The sequence below is a fragment of the Homo sapiens genome, chromosome 14 (assembly GCF_000001405.40).
Source record: "Homo sapiens chromosome 14, GRCh38.p14 Primary Assembly".
Lineage (NCBI taxonomy): Eukaryota > Metazoa > Chordata > Mammalia > Primates > Hominidae > Homo > Homo sapiens.
In genome coordinates this window covers 93,508,371-93,526,668 of record NC_000014.9, presented here as the reverse complement: position 1 = coordinate 93,526,668, position 18,298 = coordinate 93,508,371, and the positions used below count along the sequence as shown (strand labels likewise).

Here is an 18,298-nt window from a genome sequence, read left to right as displayed (position 1 = left end):
CTGAACAGGTTGGTTTACATCCACACTAATGTGTTCATATCTGTGTGTCACATGAATAAGTGGATTTTTTTGTTTATAAATATGACATATGCCCAATGTAGAGGCTTTGGAAAACCGAGAAAGGGAAAAAAGAAAATTCAATTAACACATTAACCTTCCATCTTGATGCAATCCATAGTAACACTCTGATAAGTATTACTGATTGTTTTTCACCATGATAAGTATTACTGATTGTTTTTCACTATGTAACCTTTAAACTTTTTAAAACTTTTAAACATCATACTATAAAATTGCATAACTTTATGCTTAACATTATTTTGTAAGCATTTGGATGTTTGATACCCTTGATTTGCATGTCATACGGTGATGATGTGGATTGGGCGGACTCACACTGTAAAGCAAGAGCAATACTGAGCCAGACCTATTGTAGTGCAAAAATGGCCCCAGCACAGGAAGACTTAATGAGAATGCTACCTTTCTGCAAAGTGTAGAATTAAAATAGAAAAGAAGGGTCTTTAAGGAAACTGGAGTTCAGAAAGTAAGATTTGGGGGATATGAAAATGTCTTGGGACTAGAAAGAGGTGGTGTTGGCAAACATTGTAAATATACTAAATGACACTGAATTATTCCCTTTAAAATAATTCATTGTTCATTATGTGAATTTTGCCTCTATTTTTATAAAATGACAGAAAGTGGATGGTTTGACCTATCATGGCTGACTCACTTCAGGAAGAAAAGTGAGGCCAACTCAGTGGAATGGACTGGGCTGTTTGCCTAGAAAAGAAGTAGAAAATCTAATTCATGATGCTTTCTGTGAGTAGGAGGCCAGAAAGCATTACTAACCAGGATATCAGAGGACTCCTGAGAATGCAGTCTGACATAAAATCAAGGAAAAATAACTGCAGAAACCAGACAGAAAGGATCCCCTTCATGTTGATGTCTGGGTGACCCAAAAGAAGGAGCTATAACTTAGGCAGGAGGAAGAAAAGAAGGATAATAAGAAGGAACCATGAAAGTCTCATCATTGTGAAAAATCGAGCTGAACTATATGAATAAACTATGAATTCACATGTGAGCAGCTCAAAATATCCTCACTCCAAAGAAGAGCACCTCTGAACCCCAAATGTCTATTGAAGGTCAACAGTGGGGTGCACACAGTAGAATGGGAAGGGCCTACACTTCCATTGTGTGGGTCATCATTACCTGCTCTTTTTTTTTTCGAGATGGAGTCTTGCTCTGTTGCCCAGGCTGGAGTGCAGTGGTGCAATCTCCTCTCACTGCAACCTCCACCTCCCTGGTTCAAGTAATTCCCCTCCCTCAGCCTCCCGAGTAGCTGGGATTACAGGCACACACCACCACGCCCAGCTTATTTTTTATTGTACTTTTAGTAGAGACGGGGTTTCACCATGTTGGCCAGACTGGGCTCAAACTCCCGACCTCAGGCAATCCACCCGCCTCGGCCTCTGAAAGTGCTGGGATTACAGGCTCGAGCCACCACACCCAGCCAGTTACCTGCTCTTAATATCAATCCATTCAATTTGCCTTCAACAAAAGCAGAGATTAAAAATAATAATACAAGGCCATCCTTTGTTAGTATAATGTATCTAGATGACAGTGTTATTACCGGCACTCCTCTGCCAGTTTTTGGTTCATGAAACACATTTTTGGTTTCTTTTATATTTATTGGATCTCATTTCACCTTTCCTACTTTGTTTCTATAAAGAGATGGTGTTAGTTTTCTATTAGTATTTGGTTTTCTACAGGCTATCTATAAAACAAAAGAAGCAAACCCGCAGGACACCTGGTTCTCCAAAGTAACTGTGAACTCTGATAACTTCAGGTAACTCCTACTCCTCATAATATAAAAATTATACCTTGCAAATCCAGACACAGGTTCATCCAGCCAAATATTTTATATCCAATAAATATATCATAAATAATTTTCTTAAAAGGTGTGATTATTTTTCTTCACATTCAACTTTCAAGATTCAGGGTTATACTAGGACAGAACCAATTTGGTGTGGTAGAAGGACAATAAGGTTAGGAGTCCAGATACCTGGTTCTGTCTCCAGTTTTGTTGCTAACTGGCAACCTTAGGAAAATGACTTGACTCTGTAAACCACTGTTTCCTTACTTTTAATGTAACTTTCCATGTATATGCTGTCCAGACACCTTTCAGTCATTTCAGTTAAGTCATATTTGTAATATGAGCTAAAAATTAACAATTTTATCTTTTTGTCCTACCACTCCTGAATTTGCATAAGCACTCATGATTTGTAGCATACACATGAAAACAGAGAGAAAATACATTTCCCTGAGTTCATTAGCTGAAATAGAAACCAGTTAAGGACCATGTAAGCATTTTACTAGGATCCTTCTGATAGATAATTAGCTCAGTGCTACATAGCACTTGGCTACGAACGCATAGCCAAAACTGCAGACAACGCTATTCATTGCTCTCTCTTGACCAGTCTGCCAAAGTACAATCAGATTGAATATGGAGGTACTTCGAATTACTACAGAGGACATGCCTCTGCTTTACAGAGAAGGATGCAATCTACTCCACTTCATTCAGCAATTTGACCACTGACAATACAGTATGGCACCAGGTCTAATAAAACAGTACCTTCACAGCTGGTTTGTTAATTGCATTGTGGCATTCAATGTGCTGGCAGTGGATGGGATTCCAAGCTGTAAAGTAAAGCACAGCTGATGAATACTTCTCATTGAAATTATTCATGCCCTAGTAAAAACAGATATTTTACTATTTTCTTTTTTCTAAACAGAACCATCATCAGAAAGCTTTCTAACAGAATCATCTTTTTAATCTATAAAAAATTTAAAAGACAAGCAAAGATATACAACTCCATCCATTTTCCTAGGATAAGAGATAAGCCAATATAAGATGGCATGTACAGTACCACAATGGTATGCCATTAATAAGTTTTCAAAGGTTTTTACAACCATGGTTTCACTTGATCCTCCAACAACTCTGTAGGGTAGGTACAGCAGATTATTAATCTCATTTCATATAAGAATAAATTAAAGTTAGCAAGGTTAAGTAGCTTGATATGGTCACAGAGTTAGTATATGATAAGCTAGAACTAGAACCTATATTTCTTGGTGCTTGACATTCTGCTCTTTTCATGATTGTATATTATGCTAAACATCCTAGATTCTTGGCACCAGTAAGCGTTTTAAATTGATAACAACTGAAATGAATAGTAAGACGTCCTCTACCATTCCATTTCCTATCCCATCCCCAACAAACATGGAGACTGGAAAGATTAATTTCTTGCCCAAATGAAATGCATCTCTCTCTTACACGTGACCCACCTACTAAACCTTTGCTAGTCTGCTAATACCCAATTAAATCTCTGCTAGTCTGCTAATACCCAACTCCTAAGCTCAGTATACACACAGAATGAGGAAAAGAACCAAGTGACCTGTAATAAGTCAGACTGAGAATCACAACCAGTAGTTATCATCTGGATGATTCTGTAGCCCAAAGCACTTGGCTAACAATATTCCATCATTAAAAACATGTAAGGGGTTTATATGCTTGAAAGTAGGACATTTTTCTAAAGTGTCATATTTTAAACTCACAGGACTATGTTGGCCTATTCTTAATACGTGGGAATTTGCAGATGAGAAGATATTCTTACTTAGTTACATATTCAATTATAATTCAAAAATATATATTATTAATGATCCGAGCTAATTTATGTTCCAAACACTTTAGAAAATTTTCTACCTAGGAGCTTCCCACCTTCAAACTTTCTATCCCATTGTTAGACCATGTATAAGATTATGTGTCTAGTTGGGGATTCACGGAAATATAGTTACCAGAACGACTGACATTTAAAAATATACAACAGGTCTATTTATTTGAAAAGAAGACAAGAAATACAGACCAGAGACCACTACTATAATAAGATAGTATCATTTTGATCATATTTTTAGAGCACAACAAAGAAGAAATGGAAATGAATGAGTACATGAACAGATTGATGAAGAAATAATTTCGGTATAGGCGCTTCATAACTATGAGATTAGTTTCCCATATATGGTAAAGTCAAGCTGAATATAAAGAGTTGTAACAAGTTTTCTTGTACAATTAGAGTAACATAGAGGAAAAAGCTGCCTTTAACCAGTACATGAATTGCAAAAACATGGAACATGTGCTGCATTCTTCTGATCCCAAACTCATGACAGACATCACTAATCCATTACAGCATTCCTTCCTGCTGAGTCCAGAACTGGCCTTAGGATCCTTCTTATCACTGTGCTCCAAGAAGTCACCACTAATCAAAACAAAATTGGCACACAAGATAAAATCTGCTAACCATCTCCAAATCAGTGTATTATAAGAATGTCTGCAGATTGCTTTACAGAAGTTCATGACACTTATGGGAAGAATTAATATTCAAAACATATAACAACTGCTATGGCACAGGTAAACAAATTGAAGTGTGCACCAGCCACAGTAATTAGGGCTCTAAAGACTTCTATTCTGCCAGAAATAAATGCTTTTTTGTGGATAATGGAGATATCCAGGAGGTCCTACTGCTTTAATTTTGCATTCCATTTTTACTGAGTGTTGCTGTGTTAAGAACAGGTTGTAGATAATCAATTTAAGTTCATAAAAGCCACATTGGATTTAAACTTACTAAAACAGTGATCTTAAGTTTTGCTATGTATCAAAAATCAACTGTCAAGATTTTAAAAATATGATGTCTGGAACCAATGTTAGATCTTCTGAATCAAAATGTTTGAGGATAGAACACAGGTATTTCTAATTGGGAAAAGCACTACAATTGATTTTGATATAAGGACAATCAGCATACCTTATCTTGTGGCAAATATAGTCATACTAGATCACCATTCAAAAATAATAACAAAAAAGATAGCATAAAAACACAGCAGACAACAATTACTCTTTCAACTATGATAGAAAAATTGGTATTAGACTTGCCTTCCCACCATAAACAACTAGAGAACTAAAAAATATATATTTGAAACACTATTTTCAGAAACTGGTCTCCAAGTAGTACAGGGCAGTGATCCTTGAGAGAAGAGAAATAATGCAGTGAGCCCCACAATCACCCTGGCTTTCTTCCTGACAGTAACTTCCAGACCTTGGCCCTAGAAAGGGAAAGATAAGCAGAATAGTATGGTCTTGTTTTTAGTTGAGGGGACAAAAACTGGAGTTTAGAGAGGCCAGATGGCTGAAATTTGCTGAATAGAGTATGAAGGAAGAGGGAACTAGGCAAAGAAAGAGATCCAGAAATCTAAATAGGAGTCCTTTTGAGTCTTTGGCTTTATACTAAGTAAAATGTATGTAAGGTAAAACTCTATGAGGCTGGATAGAGAAAAACTGTGAGAGTTCTGTGAGCTAAGCAATTCCTAGAGCTTGTACAGGGCTGGAAGATATTCAAGGTCCAACCAGTCAGAGTAGGGGGAAATCACTAAATACTTGGAGCAATCATAGAAACTTTAGGAGGGTCATTTCTTAGTAATAGGGTTAAACTAACATTAGAGAAAAAGTTACTCTAGGCTCATTCTAACAAAACCTAAGAATAAGCCTTGAAATGGTCAGACTAATCCACAAGTAGCTTGATTGCCAAAACAAACTTCAACATACTGTAATGGAAGACAGCAAAATTCAGACACTCAATAATGTAACAATCATGAAATCCAGCATCCAGTCAAAATTATTTGATATTTGAAAAGGGGGTAAAATGTCACTCATAACCAGGGGGAAAACAGATCAGCAGAAACAAACCCAGAAACTGTGGAGATGAAGTAGTTGGCAAAGAAGAACTTTAAAATAGTTATCATAAACATTGGCAAAGGAAAGCATGAAGATAGGCATAATGAGGATAGAGATGGGAGATATAATTTAAAAATTAAATGTGACTTTAAAAATCAGAAATACAACTTGAAAAACTCACTGAATGGGCTTAATAGAAGAATAGACAATGCAGAAGAAAAGATCAGTGAATTAGGAGACATAACAAAACTACCCAAACTGAAATAATGGAAGAAAAATAGAGATACAGTGAACTGTGGGAAAATTTCAGGCAGTTTTACCTTACATATATTTTACTTAGTATAAAGCCAAATTTTTATGATTGCTCCAAGTACATGTGATTTAAAGCACAAAAGAAATAAAAGGGGGAAATATTTGAAGAGACAATGGCTAAAAATTTTCAAGTCTGATGAAAACAACCCCCAAATCCAAGAAGCTCAATGAATCCTAGGCAAGATAAAAGCAAAGAAAATAACACCAAAATTCATTATAAACAAATTGATGAAAACCAATAAGAAGAAAATCTTAAAAATAGCCAGGAGGGAAAAAAAGACACATTACTTACAGGGGAACAAAGATAAGAATGATCGCTGATTTCTCGTCAGAAACAATGCAAGCCAGAAGACAATGGAACGACATCTTTAATAGGCTGAAAGAAAAAAACTGTCAACCTAGAATTCTATACCCAGTGAAATTATCCTTCAAAAATGAGTATGAAATAAAGACTATTTGAAGACAAACACAAAATAAGAGAATTCATTTCCAGCTGAGCTCCACTACAAGAAATGTTAAAGGAAGTTTTTCGGGCTAAAGGAAAATGATACCAGATAGTAGCTCAAATTTACACAAAGGCATAAAGAGTGTTGGACATGGTAAGTATGCTGAATAACTACAGAAGGCTTTTTTACTCATATTAATATGTTGTTAAAAGATGGTTGATTATTTAAAACAAAAAATAATTATAATGAATAGAGGCTAATAATATATATAGAAGTAAGATGTTTGGTAACAATAACAAAAAGGATAGGAGGGGTAAAATTAAAATACAAAAAGGCCTTACATTATATGTAAACTGATATAATTTGAGGTAGACTGTGAAGTTAAAAGTGCATATTATAAACCCAAGAGCAATTTTTTAAAGATGGTGTAGCTAACAGTACAATACAGAAATAAAATATAACACTAAAAATAATTAATTCAAAAAAGGCAAGATATCAAAAAGAAAAAAAAGGAACAGATGGGACAAATATAAAACAAGTGTAACATGATAGGCTTCAGTCATACAAGTGTATCATGATAGGCTTCAATTCATACCAGAAATTACATTAAATGCCAATGGTCTAAACAATAATTTTACTAATGTAAATGGTCTAAAAGGCAAAGATTGTGAAATAGGATTTGAGTTTTTTAAAACCCATGACCCAATTGTATGCTGCCTGTGAAAAACATAGCTAAATTATAAAGGCTCAGATAAGCTAGAAGTAAACAGAAAAAGTTATACTATGCAATTATGGCATAATTGTTATACCATAATTGAAATTATAAGAAAGCTTGAGTGTCTATATTAATATCAGAGAAATAGATTTCAGAACAAAGAATATTACCAGAAAAACCAAGGCAATTTTACAATGATGAAAGGGTCAATTAACCTAGAAAACATAAAAACCATAAATATTTGTACCCTTAGTAAGGTGAGAGAATTGAAAGAAGCATAACTGAAGTTGTAAATTTCCATAATCCTCTCTCAGTAACTGATAAAACAAGCAGACAGAAAATCAGCAAATATATAAGACTTGAAAACACTCTCAAACAACTTAACCTATTTTATAATGTTAGAAATCTCCACTCAACCACTGTGGAATACACATTGTTTTAAAGTACACGTGCAACATTTAACAAGATAGGTATTCCAGTCCATAAAATAAGTCTCAAAAATTTAGATGGAGCTACATCATACAGCATATTCTCTAGCCACAATAGAATTAAACTAGAAACCAATAACACAAAAGTATCTGAAAAATTACCAAATATTTACACATTAAAAAGCACACTTCTAAACAATTCATGAATGAAAGAAGAAACTTTAGAAAATATCCTGCACTGAAATACAATAAAAGCATAACATATATAATGAATTTCTGGGAAGCAACTAAAGCAATGATTAAATGGAAATTTATAGCTAAAAATTATTATATGAGAAAATATTAAAGATCTGAAATAAAAAGTTTATGCATCTCCCTTAAGAAGACAGAAAAAGAACAGAACTCAGTAGGTGGAAGAAAACAATAAAGAAACAGAAATCAATGAAATTGAAATCAGAAAATCCATAGATAAAATCAATAAAATCAAAAACTGGTTCTTTGAAAAGTCCCAAAAACTTGATAGGCCCCAGCATCCTGATGGACAAAAAAAAAATTGAAAATTCATGAATTACCAATATCAGGAATGAAAGGTAGAACATCACTACAGATCCTACAGACATGCTAATAAATTTGAAAACTTGGATGAGATGCTCACATTCCTTAAAAGACACAAATAACTCACTATAACTCAATAAAAGTAAAAAAAACCCATAACTATTAAAATTACATTCACAACATAAAACATTTCCCTCAAAGAAACCCCAAGTCCATATGGCTTCACCAGTAAATTCTATTAATCATTGAAAGAATAAATAATACAAATCTTACATAAACTCTTTCAGAAATTAGAAGAGAAAAAAACATTTTCCAACTCATTTTATGAGGTCAGTATTACTCTGTAAATGGAACCAGATGAAGACATCATAATTAAATAAAACAAAACAATATCTCTCATAAATGTAGGAACCTGAACACTTAACTTAGAAAATTAAATCTAGCAATATAATACAGCATGACAAGATGAGTTCATCCCAAGAATGCAAGATTGCATTTCACACACACACACACACACACAGACACACACACACACACACTCACATATACATATGGACCAAATGGAAATTCTAGAAGTGAAAAATATAACAGGGGGGCAGAATTTGGGGAATGTTGGTCAAAGGCTGCAAAACTTTAGAAAGAAAAGATATATAATAACCAAAATTAAAAACATAATTAGGAGGCTAAAGAATTTGAGAACAGGAAGACATGTCAGAAAAAGATTCAGTATGAAGCACAGAAAGATGAAATGGTGGGGGATGGGGAATACAAAAAATAGGCATAAAAGGCATAACGTTGCCAAGAAAATCAATGTAATTTACCATATTAACAGAATGAAGGGAAGAAATCATATAATCATCTCAATAGAAAGAGAAAATGCATTTGACCAAAACTGACATTCATGATTAAAGCTCTCAGCAAACTAAGAACAGACAGTAATTTCCTCAATCTGGTAAAAAAAAAAAAATCTATGAAAAACCTACAGTTAACATAATAATTTAATGGTGAAAGCCCAAATACTCTCCCCAAAGATTGGGAGAAAGAACAAGGACGTCCACTCTCAGTACTTCTATTCAAGTGGAGATATTAAGCAGTGCAAAAAAAAAAAAAAAAAGAGAAGGATAGAAAGAAAAAAAGGGAGAAAGGAAAGAAGGGTAAGAGAGAGAGAAAAGGAAAAGAGGAGAAAAAGAAAGAGAAAGGAAGGAAGGAAAGAAGGAAGGGAGGGATGGAGAAAGGGAGAGAGGGGTGGAGAGAGGGGAGGAAGGAAGGAAGGAAGGAAAAAAGAAAGGCATACAAATTAGAAAGAAAAGAAAAAAAATTATTTGCAGAGAGCATAATCAGGTATACAGAAAATCTCAAGAAACTTACAAAAAAGCCACAAAAACTAAGAAGTGAATTTAGCAAGGTTGCAGGGTATTTGTAGAGTACCAATAAACAAGTAGAAGATTAAAATTTTTAAACACTATTTATAATAGCATATAAAATCATAAAATATTTAGGAGCACCTTTAACAAAATATAATATCTGTACACTAAAAACCAGCAAATATTGCTGAAAGAAATTAAAGAAGACCTAAATAAATGGATAAATATACCATGTTCATGGATGAAAAGACTCAATATTGTTAAGATGTCAATTCTCCCCAAATTAAACTATATAGTCAATGTAATCTCATTCAAAAATCCAAGCAGAGGTCAGATGCAATGGCTCACACCTGTAATCCCAGCACTTTGGGAGGCTGAGGCAGGCAGATCACCCTGAGGTCAGGAGTTTGAGACCAGCCTGGCTAATATGGTGAAACCTCATCTCTACTAAAAATACAAAAATTAACCAGGCATAGTCACACATGCCTGTAATCCCAGCCTCTCAGGAGGCTGAGGCAGGAGAATCACTTGAACCGGAGAGGCAGAGGTTGCAGTGAGCTGAGATCATGCCACTGCACTCCAGCCTGGGCAACAGAGTAAGACTCCATCCCCCACCCCCCCCCCCAAAAAAAATATCCAAGCAGATTGTTTTGTAGAAATTACAAACTGATAGTAAAATTTATATGAAAATGCAAAGGTACTAAAATAGCCCAAAAAATTCTTTAAAAGAACAAATCTGGAGTACTTACACTACATAATTTTATGTATTAAAATAGCCCATAAAATTTTTAAAAGAGCAAATCTAGAGGATTTATACTACATGATTCTAAAATACACCGTAAAGCTACAGTAATCAAGATTATGTGATATTGGTATAAGGATAGACAATGAAACAAAATAGAGAGTTTAGAAATAGACACATACATATATGGTTAATTATTATTCAACAAAAGGGTCAAGGTAATTCAATACGGAAAAGATACTCTTTTCAACAAATTGAACTGAAACAACTGGATATCCTTAAAGGAAAAACAAATCCAACCCTTACCTCTTGCTATATACTAAAATTGATTCCAAATAGATCATATACTTAGATGTAAAATCTTAAACTATGTAACTTCTAGAAGCATAGAATTTCTTTACAACCTTAGGAGAGACCAAAAAAAGGACCACAAAAGAAAAAAAAAAGATAAATTTCAATTAATTTATCAAAATTAAAATCTCCTTCTCTTTGAAATACTTCAACAGGGAAGCCCCTGAATGAGAGAGCATATTCACATTATGTTGACAAAAGTCTTATATTTTGAACATACAATATAATAAGATAATAAAATAAACACCCCAATTTAAAAATGAGCAAAAAGTTCATTGGTAACTTCACATATACACACAAAGGGTAAGCAAACCTGAGAAGGTAAGAATATAGAGGGAAAGATAAATATATGAAATTAGTGGTTACAGTAGCCACAGAGCACAAACAATGAAAATCTGACCTAAGAATTATACCCTTTCACCAGAAGCAAAATTAAGTTCTCTCTGAAGGAATCCATCATACTAAGTCTCAAATTAGGTTTATAGTTTTTATATCTATTGTCTTGAACACAATAAAAAACAACCACACAAACAAGAAGACAAGAAAACAAAACAAAAGAAACAACAGACAAGAGAATCAGAATCTCCAGGGATCCAGAACACTGAGTCATCAGAAACAGATTTTAAAATAATTATGCTTAATATGTTCTATAAAGTAGAAGATAAGAGAATATCATCAAAGAACTGGAAATACACACACACACACACACACACACACATATACATATGGACCAAATGGAAATTCTAGAAGTGAAAAATATAATGGGGGGTAGAATTTGGGGAATGTTGGTCAAAGGCTACAAAACTTTAGAAAGAAAAGATATATAATAATCAAAATTTAAAACATAATTAGGAGGATCAAGAATTTGAGAACAGGAAGACATGTCAGAAACAGATTCAGTGTGAAGCACAGAAAGATGAAATGGTGGGGGACGGGGAATACAAAAAATATGCATAAAAGGATGTACGAGAGAAAGGTCTAACATAAATGCCATTAGAATTCCAGAAAGAGGGATGAGAATGTGTCAGAAGCCACTTTTGAAGAGATAAGGAAACTTCCAGTTACAACCATAATAAAAAGCTGGTATTGAACTTATCTTTCCACTGGACAAACTGGTTTCAGACATTGGGCATAGATACAGCACAGGGCTGCTCTCTTTTTTAAAAAGTAAAGCATACAAGTTAAGTTCTACATTCACCTTGGCTTTCTGCCTGGTGATATTTCCAAAATGCAGCATAGAAAAATGGAACTCAGTAAGAAATCAGCGTTTTTGGTGGGTAGAAGAAACAGATTTTCAGTGGGTAGAGAAATCAAAATAAAGAAATGCTAAGGCGGATGGAATTTGTGAGTAAAGGTAGAGAACAGAGGAGAGCTACCAAGAAGAGGTATCACAGATCAGTGGAAGGGCATCCCTCAGGTCTTTGGCCCGCATGTGCTCAGAGCAAACTTCTGCAAGGACTAGCAGAGAACTCTGCTCAATGGTTGAAAGCAGAACAGAGATTTTGGAGGTCACAAAGGGCTAGATATATGTTGTATTTCCAATGTAGCCAAAGCAAAGAGCTTTAGTGAACACATCAGAAATTCAGGAGACAATAGTTTGTAACAGATAGGTCACACCTTAGGAATAAAGACCGTGCTCTAGACCTAAGTTTATAAATTTGTAGACATAGGGTTGTTCATAGTAATCCTTCACTATCCTTTTAATGTCCATGAGATCAGGAAATAATAATATCTATTTCCTTTCTGATATTAGAAATGTGTGTCTAATGTCTTTTCCTTTTTCCCTGGTTAGACTGGCTAGAAGCTTATTGATTTTTTAAAAAACAGTTTTTAATTTTGTTGATTTTTCTCTATGTTTTCCTGTTTTAAATCTTACTGACTTGTTCTCTAATTTTTGTTATTTATTTTCTTATGCTTACTTCAGGCTTAAATTGCTCTTCTTTCTCTAGTTTCCTAAAGTAGAAGACTATAGCATTGATTTTACATGTTCCTTCTTTCTACTGTATGTCTTCAGTGCTGTAAATATCCCTCTAAACACTGCTTTTACTACATAACACAAATATTGAAGATAATGCTATAGGAGTCATAGTTATACACTAGGACTAAAGGCAAAACTGAAATATACTTGGCTTAACAAGTTATAAATTTAAGTCCTTGGGAAGAGAAGGGCAGAGAAGGAGAGGCTGGTTAACAGGTACAAACAGATAGAAGGAATAAGTTCCAATATTTGATAGTAGAGTAGGTTGACTATATTTAACAACAATGTATTGTATATTTCAATATTTCAAAACACCTAGAAGAGACGACTTGAAATGTCCCCAATGCATAGAAATAATAAATCCTTGAGGTGATGGACACCCCAAATACCATGACTTGATCATTACACAGTCTGTGCAGGTAACAAAATATCAGGCCATAACAAAAATGTATGGGATACTTTATATCCCATAAAAAGGTACAATTAGGCCAGACACAGGGTCTCATGTCTGTAATCCCAGCACTTTGGGAGGCTGAGGCAGGAGGATCACTTGAACCCAGGATTTTGAGACCAGCTTGGACAACATAGGGAGGCCCATCTCTACAAATAATAAAAAATTAGCCAGGTGTGTTGGTCATGCCTGTAGTTCCAGCTACTTAGGAGGCTGAGGTGGGAAGATCACTTGATCTCAGGAGTTCAAGATTGCAGTGAGCTATGATTGTGATGCCATTGCACTCCAGCCTAGGCAAGAGTGAGACCATGTTAGGAAGGAAGGAAGGAAAGAAGGAAGGAAGGAAGGAAAGAAGGAAGGAAGGGAGGGAGGGAGGGAGGGAAAAACAAAAAAACAAAAATATGTACAAGTAAAATTTGTTTTAAAAGACTAGAGATCAAGAAGCCTATAAAATCTGAAAATTTAAAATAAAAATAAATAAAGCTAAGCCTTGATGCAAGAAGGTGATCCACCAGTAACTTCACACCAGCAAATACAAAACACAAAATACAATGCTTTTTAGAATAAATAAAATAGTTCAGAGTCTCTACAACATATTCTTTACAATGTCCATCATACAATAAAAAATTTACAAGACATGTGAAAGGACTAGAAAATGTGATCCATAATCAAGAGGAAGAGTGAAAAGAAGCAAATGACCTAGACTCATTTCAAATTAAAAATAAGAATTTTAAAATAAGTAGTTCAAATATGTTAAAGAATATACAGAAATAGATCATTCAGATGAAAATTCCCAGAGAGAGATGAAAACTGTAAAAAATAGCTAAAAGAAAATTCTAGACCTAAAAACATAATTAGAAAAGATAGCATATATAAAATTACTAACTCATTGACTGGACTTTTAAAAAATATTGGACGCAGCAGAAGAAAGGATCAGTGAACTTGAAAAATTAATACAAATCCAAACTAATGCACAGGTAAACATTTTTTAAAAATGGAGTATTTGATACCTCTGGAAAAAGTACCAAATATTTTTTTAAAGTCCCAGAATGAGAGGAGAAAACAGAAATGGCAGAATAAATACCTGGATAGAATAATATCCCAAATTTTTCCAAAACTGATGAAGAACATAAAACCACAGATTCGAGAAGCTCAGCAAACCCCAAGCAAAATAAGTACAAAAACCACCACACTCAAGCAGAACATAATGAAAGTACTAAATACCAAAAATAAACAGAAAATCTTTCAAAGAGGCAGAGAAAAATATCATACTACATTCAGAGGTACAATTACAAGAATAATATGTAATTTCCTATTGGATACAATGAATTGATACGTTTAAAGAGTTAAATGAGAGAAGCAATGTTCACTAATTACAATGGAATTACCATAGATATCAAAACAAAAAGGTAACTAGAGCCCAGATATTTGCAAGTTAAACTACTCTCCTAAATAACACAGGCAATAAAGATAGAGCAATTAAAGTGTTTAAATATTTTTAAATGAATGCTAGTAAAGACCCAAAATATCAAAATTTGTGGGATGCAGCAAATATAGAACTTAGAGGGAAGTTGGTAATTTTAAATGGATAATTAGAAAAAAATTAATGTTGGAAATAAACAATCTAATTTTTTAATCCCAAGAAGCTAGGAAAAAGAAGAAAAAATTAAATTCAAGAAAGTAAAAGAAACAAGATAGTAAAGATAAAAGCAGAAAACAATGATACATACAGAACACAACTTTTATCATTTTTCTGTTTTTTGTTTATTTGTTTTAGTTTATGTAAGCATTTGGTGAAATTTAAGAACTGGTCATGCACGGTGGCTCATGCCTGTAATCCCAGCACTTTGGGAGGTGAAGGCAGGTGGATCACGAGGTCAAGGGATCGAGACCATCCTGGCCAACATGGTGAAACCCCGTCTCTATTAAAATACAAAAATTAGTTGGGCGTGGTGGCACATGCCTGTAATACCAGCTACTCGGGAGGCTGAGGCAGAAGAATTGCTTGAACCCAGGAGGCAGAGGCTGCAGTGAGCCGAGATCGCACCACAACACTCCAGCCTGGTGACAAAGCGAGACTCTGTCTCAAAATAAATAAATAAATAAATATAAAAAATAAAAACTATTCAGAATAAAATATCTAAGTCAACTGGAAATAAAATTTAACTTTCTGAAACTGATATAAAGGAGATTTGCAAAACCCTACAGCTAATAGCATGCTTAATGGTGAAATATTCCCTCAAGTTAGGAACAAAGCAACCATATCTAATATGGCTTGGATTTGTTTCCTCACTCAAATCTCATGTCAAATTGTAATCCTCAGTGTTGGAGGAGCAGCCCAGTGGAAGGTGACTAGATCGTGGGAGTGGATTTCCCCTTTGCTGTTCTCATAATAGTGAGTGAGTGCACAGAGAGTTGGTTGTCTAAAAGTGCGTGGCACCTCCCCACCACCTCTCCCTCCTGCCACCGCTTGAAGATGTGCCCGCTTCCCCCTTACCTTCTGCCATGATTGTAAGTTTCCTGAGGCCTCCGCAGAAGCAGAAGCCAATATAACCCACAGAACCATGAGCCAATTAAACCTCTTTTCTTTATAAACTACCCAGTTGCAGGTATTTCTTTATAGCAGTGTGTGAACAAACTAATACAGGAAATTCATACTAGAGAAGTGGGGCATTGCTATAAAGATACCTGAAAATGTGGAAGCCACTTTGGAACTGGGTAACGGGCAAAGGTTGGAACAGTTGGGAAGGCTCAGAAGAAGACAGGAAAATGACAGAAAGTTTGGAACTTCCTAGAGACTTGTTAAATTGTTGTGACCAAGATGCTGATAGTGATATGGACAATGAATTCCAGGCTGAGGCAGTCTCCGATGGAGATGAGGAACTTATTGAGAACTGGAGTAAAGGTCACTCTTGCTATCCTTCAACAAAGAGAATGGCAGAATTGTGCCGCTGCTCTAGGGATCTGTAGAACTTTGAATTTGAGAGAGATGATTTAAGGTATCTGTCAGAAGAAATTTCTAAGCAGCAAAGCATTCACAATGTGGCCAAGCTGCTTCTAACAGTGCATACTTACATTCATAAGCAAAGAGATTATCCAAAACTGAAACTTAATATTTAAAAGGGAAGCAGAACATAAAAATTTGGAAAATTTGCAGCCTGACCATGTGGTAAAAATAAAAACCCATTTTCTGGGGAGGAATTCAAGCCAGCTGCAGAAATTTGCATAAGTAAAGAGGAACCAAATGTTAATATCCAAGACAATGGGGAAAATTTCTTGAAGGCATTTCAGAGAACTTTGTGACACCACCTCACACGGCAGGCCCCAAGGCCTAGGAGGGAAGAATGGTTTCATGGGCAGGGCCCCACTGCCCTGCACAACCTCAGGACACTGTTCTCTGTATTATAGCCACTCCAGCTCCAGCTGTGGCTAAAAGGGCTCCAAATACATCTCAGACCACTGCTCCAGAGAGTGCAAGCCATAATCCTCTGTGGCTTCCATGTGGTGTTAAGCCAGAGGATATGCAGAGGGCAAGAGTTGAGGCTTGGGAGCCGGTGCCTAGATTTCAGAGGATGTATGGAAATGCCTGGATGTCCAGGCAGAAGTCTGCTGCAGGGATAGAGCGTTCACGGAGAACCTCTACTAGGGCAATACAGAGTTGAAGCCCGTACACAGAGTCCCTATGGGGGCACTGTCTAGTGGAGCTGTGAGAAGAGGTCCACTGTCCCCCAGACCCCAGAATGGTAGATCCAACGATGGCTTGCACCATGCACCTGGAAAAGCTGCGGGTACTCAACACCAGCCCATGAAAGCAGCTGCAGAGGATGTACCTTGCAGAACCACAGGGGCAGAGCTGCCCAAGGCCTTGGGAGCCAACCCCTTGCATTAGTGTGGCCTGGATGTGATACATGGAGTCAAAGCAGATTATTTTGGAGCTTTAAAATTTAATGACTGCGCTGCTGGGTTTCGGACTTCATGGGCCATGTAGCCCCTTTGTTTTGGCCAATTTCTCCCTTTTGAAAAGGGAGTACTTACCCAGTGCCTGTATCCCCATTATAATCTGTAAGTAACTAACTTGTTTTTTATTTTACAGGATCATAGGTGGAAGAGACATGCCTTATCTCAGATAAGACTTCAGGCTGTTGACTTCTGAGTTAATGCTGCAATGAGTTAAGACTTTGGAAGACTGTTGGGAAGGCATGATTGTGTTTTGAAATGTGAAAAGGACATGATATTTTGGAGGGGCCAAGGGTGGAATTATATGATTTGGATTTGTGTCCTCACCCAAATCTCATGTTGAATTGTAATTCCCATGGTTGGAGGAGGGGCCTGGTGAGGGGTGATTGGATCATGGGGGTGGATTTCCCCCTTGCTGCTCTCATGATAGTGAGTGAGTGCTCAGAGAATTGGTTGTTTAAAAGGATGTGTACACACTTCCCCCACCAGCCATGTGAAGATGTGCCTTCTTCCCCTGCACCTTCTGCCATTATTGTAAGTTTCCTGAGGTCTCCCCAGAAGCAGAAACCTGCATATCCCACAGAACCATGAGCCAATTAAGCCTCTTTTCTTTATAAATTAACAAGTTTCAGGTATTTCTTTTTAGTGGTGTGAAAACAGACTAACGCAATATCCATTCTTATCAATTCTATTCAACAGACTCTGTTGTGAAAGTACTGGACAATAAAACAAAGAAAGAAAACAGCAATAAGTGATATAAAGATTTGAAAGGAAGTAGCACAGATGACACCATTGCCTATATAGAAAATCCAACTAATAAACAAACTACTAGAACTAATAATTGAATTTAGCAAACTCATGAGATAAAAGATCAATATGTTAAACTCAATTGGATTTCCTTACACAAGCAATAAACAATTGGAAATTAAATTTTAAAATAATGCCATTTACAATGGCATAAAAAAATTCAAACACCTAGGAATTCATTTAACAAAAGAAATGTAAGACTTCTACAGTGAAAAATACAGAGCACCACTGAGAGAAATTTTAAAAGACCTAACTAATAGAAAGATATACCACATTCATGGATTCAAAAATCCAATATTGTTAAGATGCCATTTCTTTCCAAATGGAATCACAGATTAACACAATCCAGATTAAAATCCCAGCAGGATTATTTTGGCAGAAATTCTTTTTGTTGTTGTTGTTGTTGCTGCTACTGCTGC

The 18,298-nt window shown here is 35.6% G+C and overlaps 1 protein-coding gene across 30 annotated transcripts in view; it reads right to left on the bottom strand.

Moving 5' to 3' along the window:
- UNC79 (unc-79 subunit of NALCN channel complex) overlaps positions 1–18,298 on the bottom strand; it is a 374,695-nt gene that overhangs the window by 181,208 nt on the left and 175,189 nt on the right. For 29 of the 30 annotated variants that reach the window (XM_011537027.3, NM_020818.5, XM_011537026.3 and 26 more), the window contains one exon: positions 2,627–2,691. In XM_011537027.3, the coding sequence (XP_011535329.1) occupies positions 2,627–2,691 (65 nt within the window). Of the gene's footprint in view, positions 1–2,626; positions 2,692–6,377; positions 9,192–18,298 lie in introns of those variants that run through there. The other variant, XM_017021518.2, reaches the window with a different exon arrangement.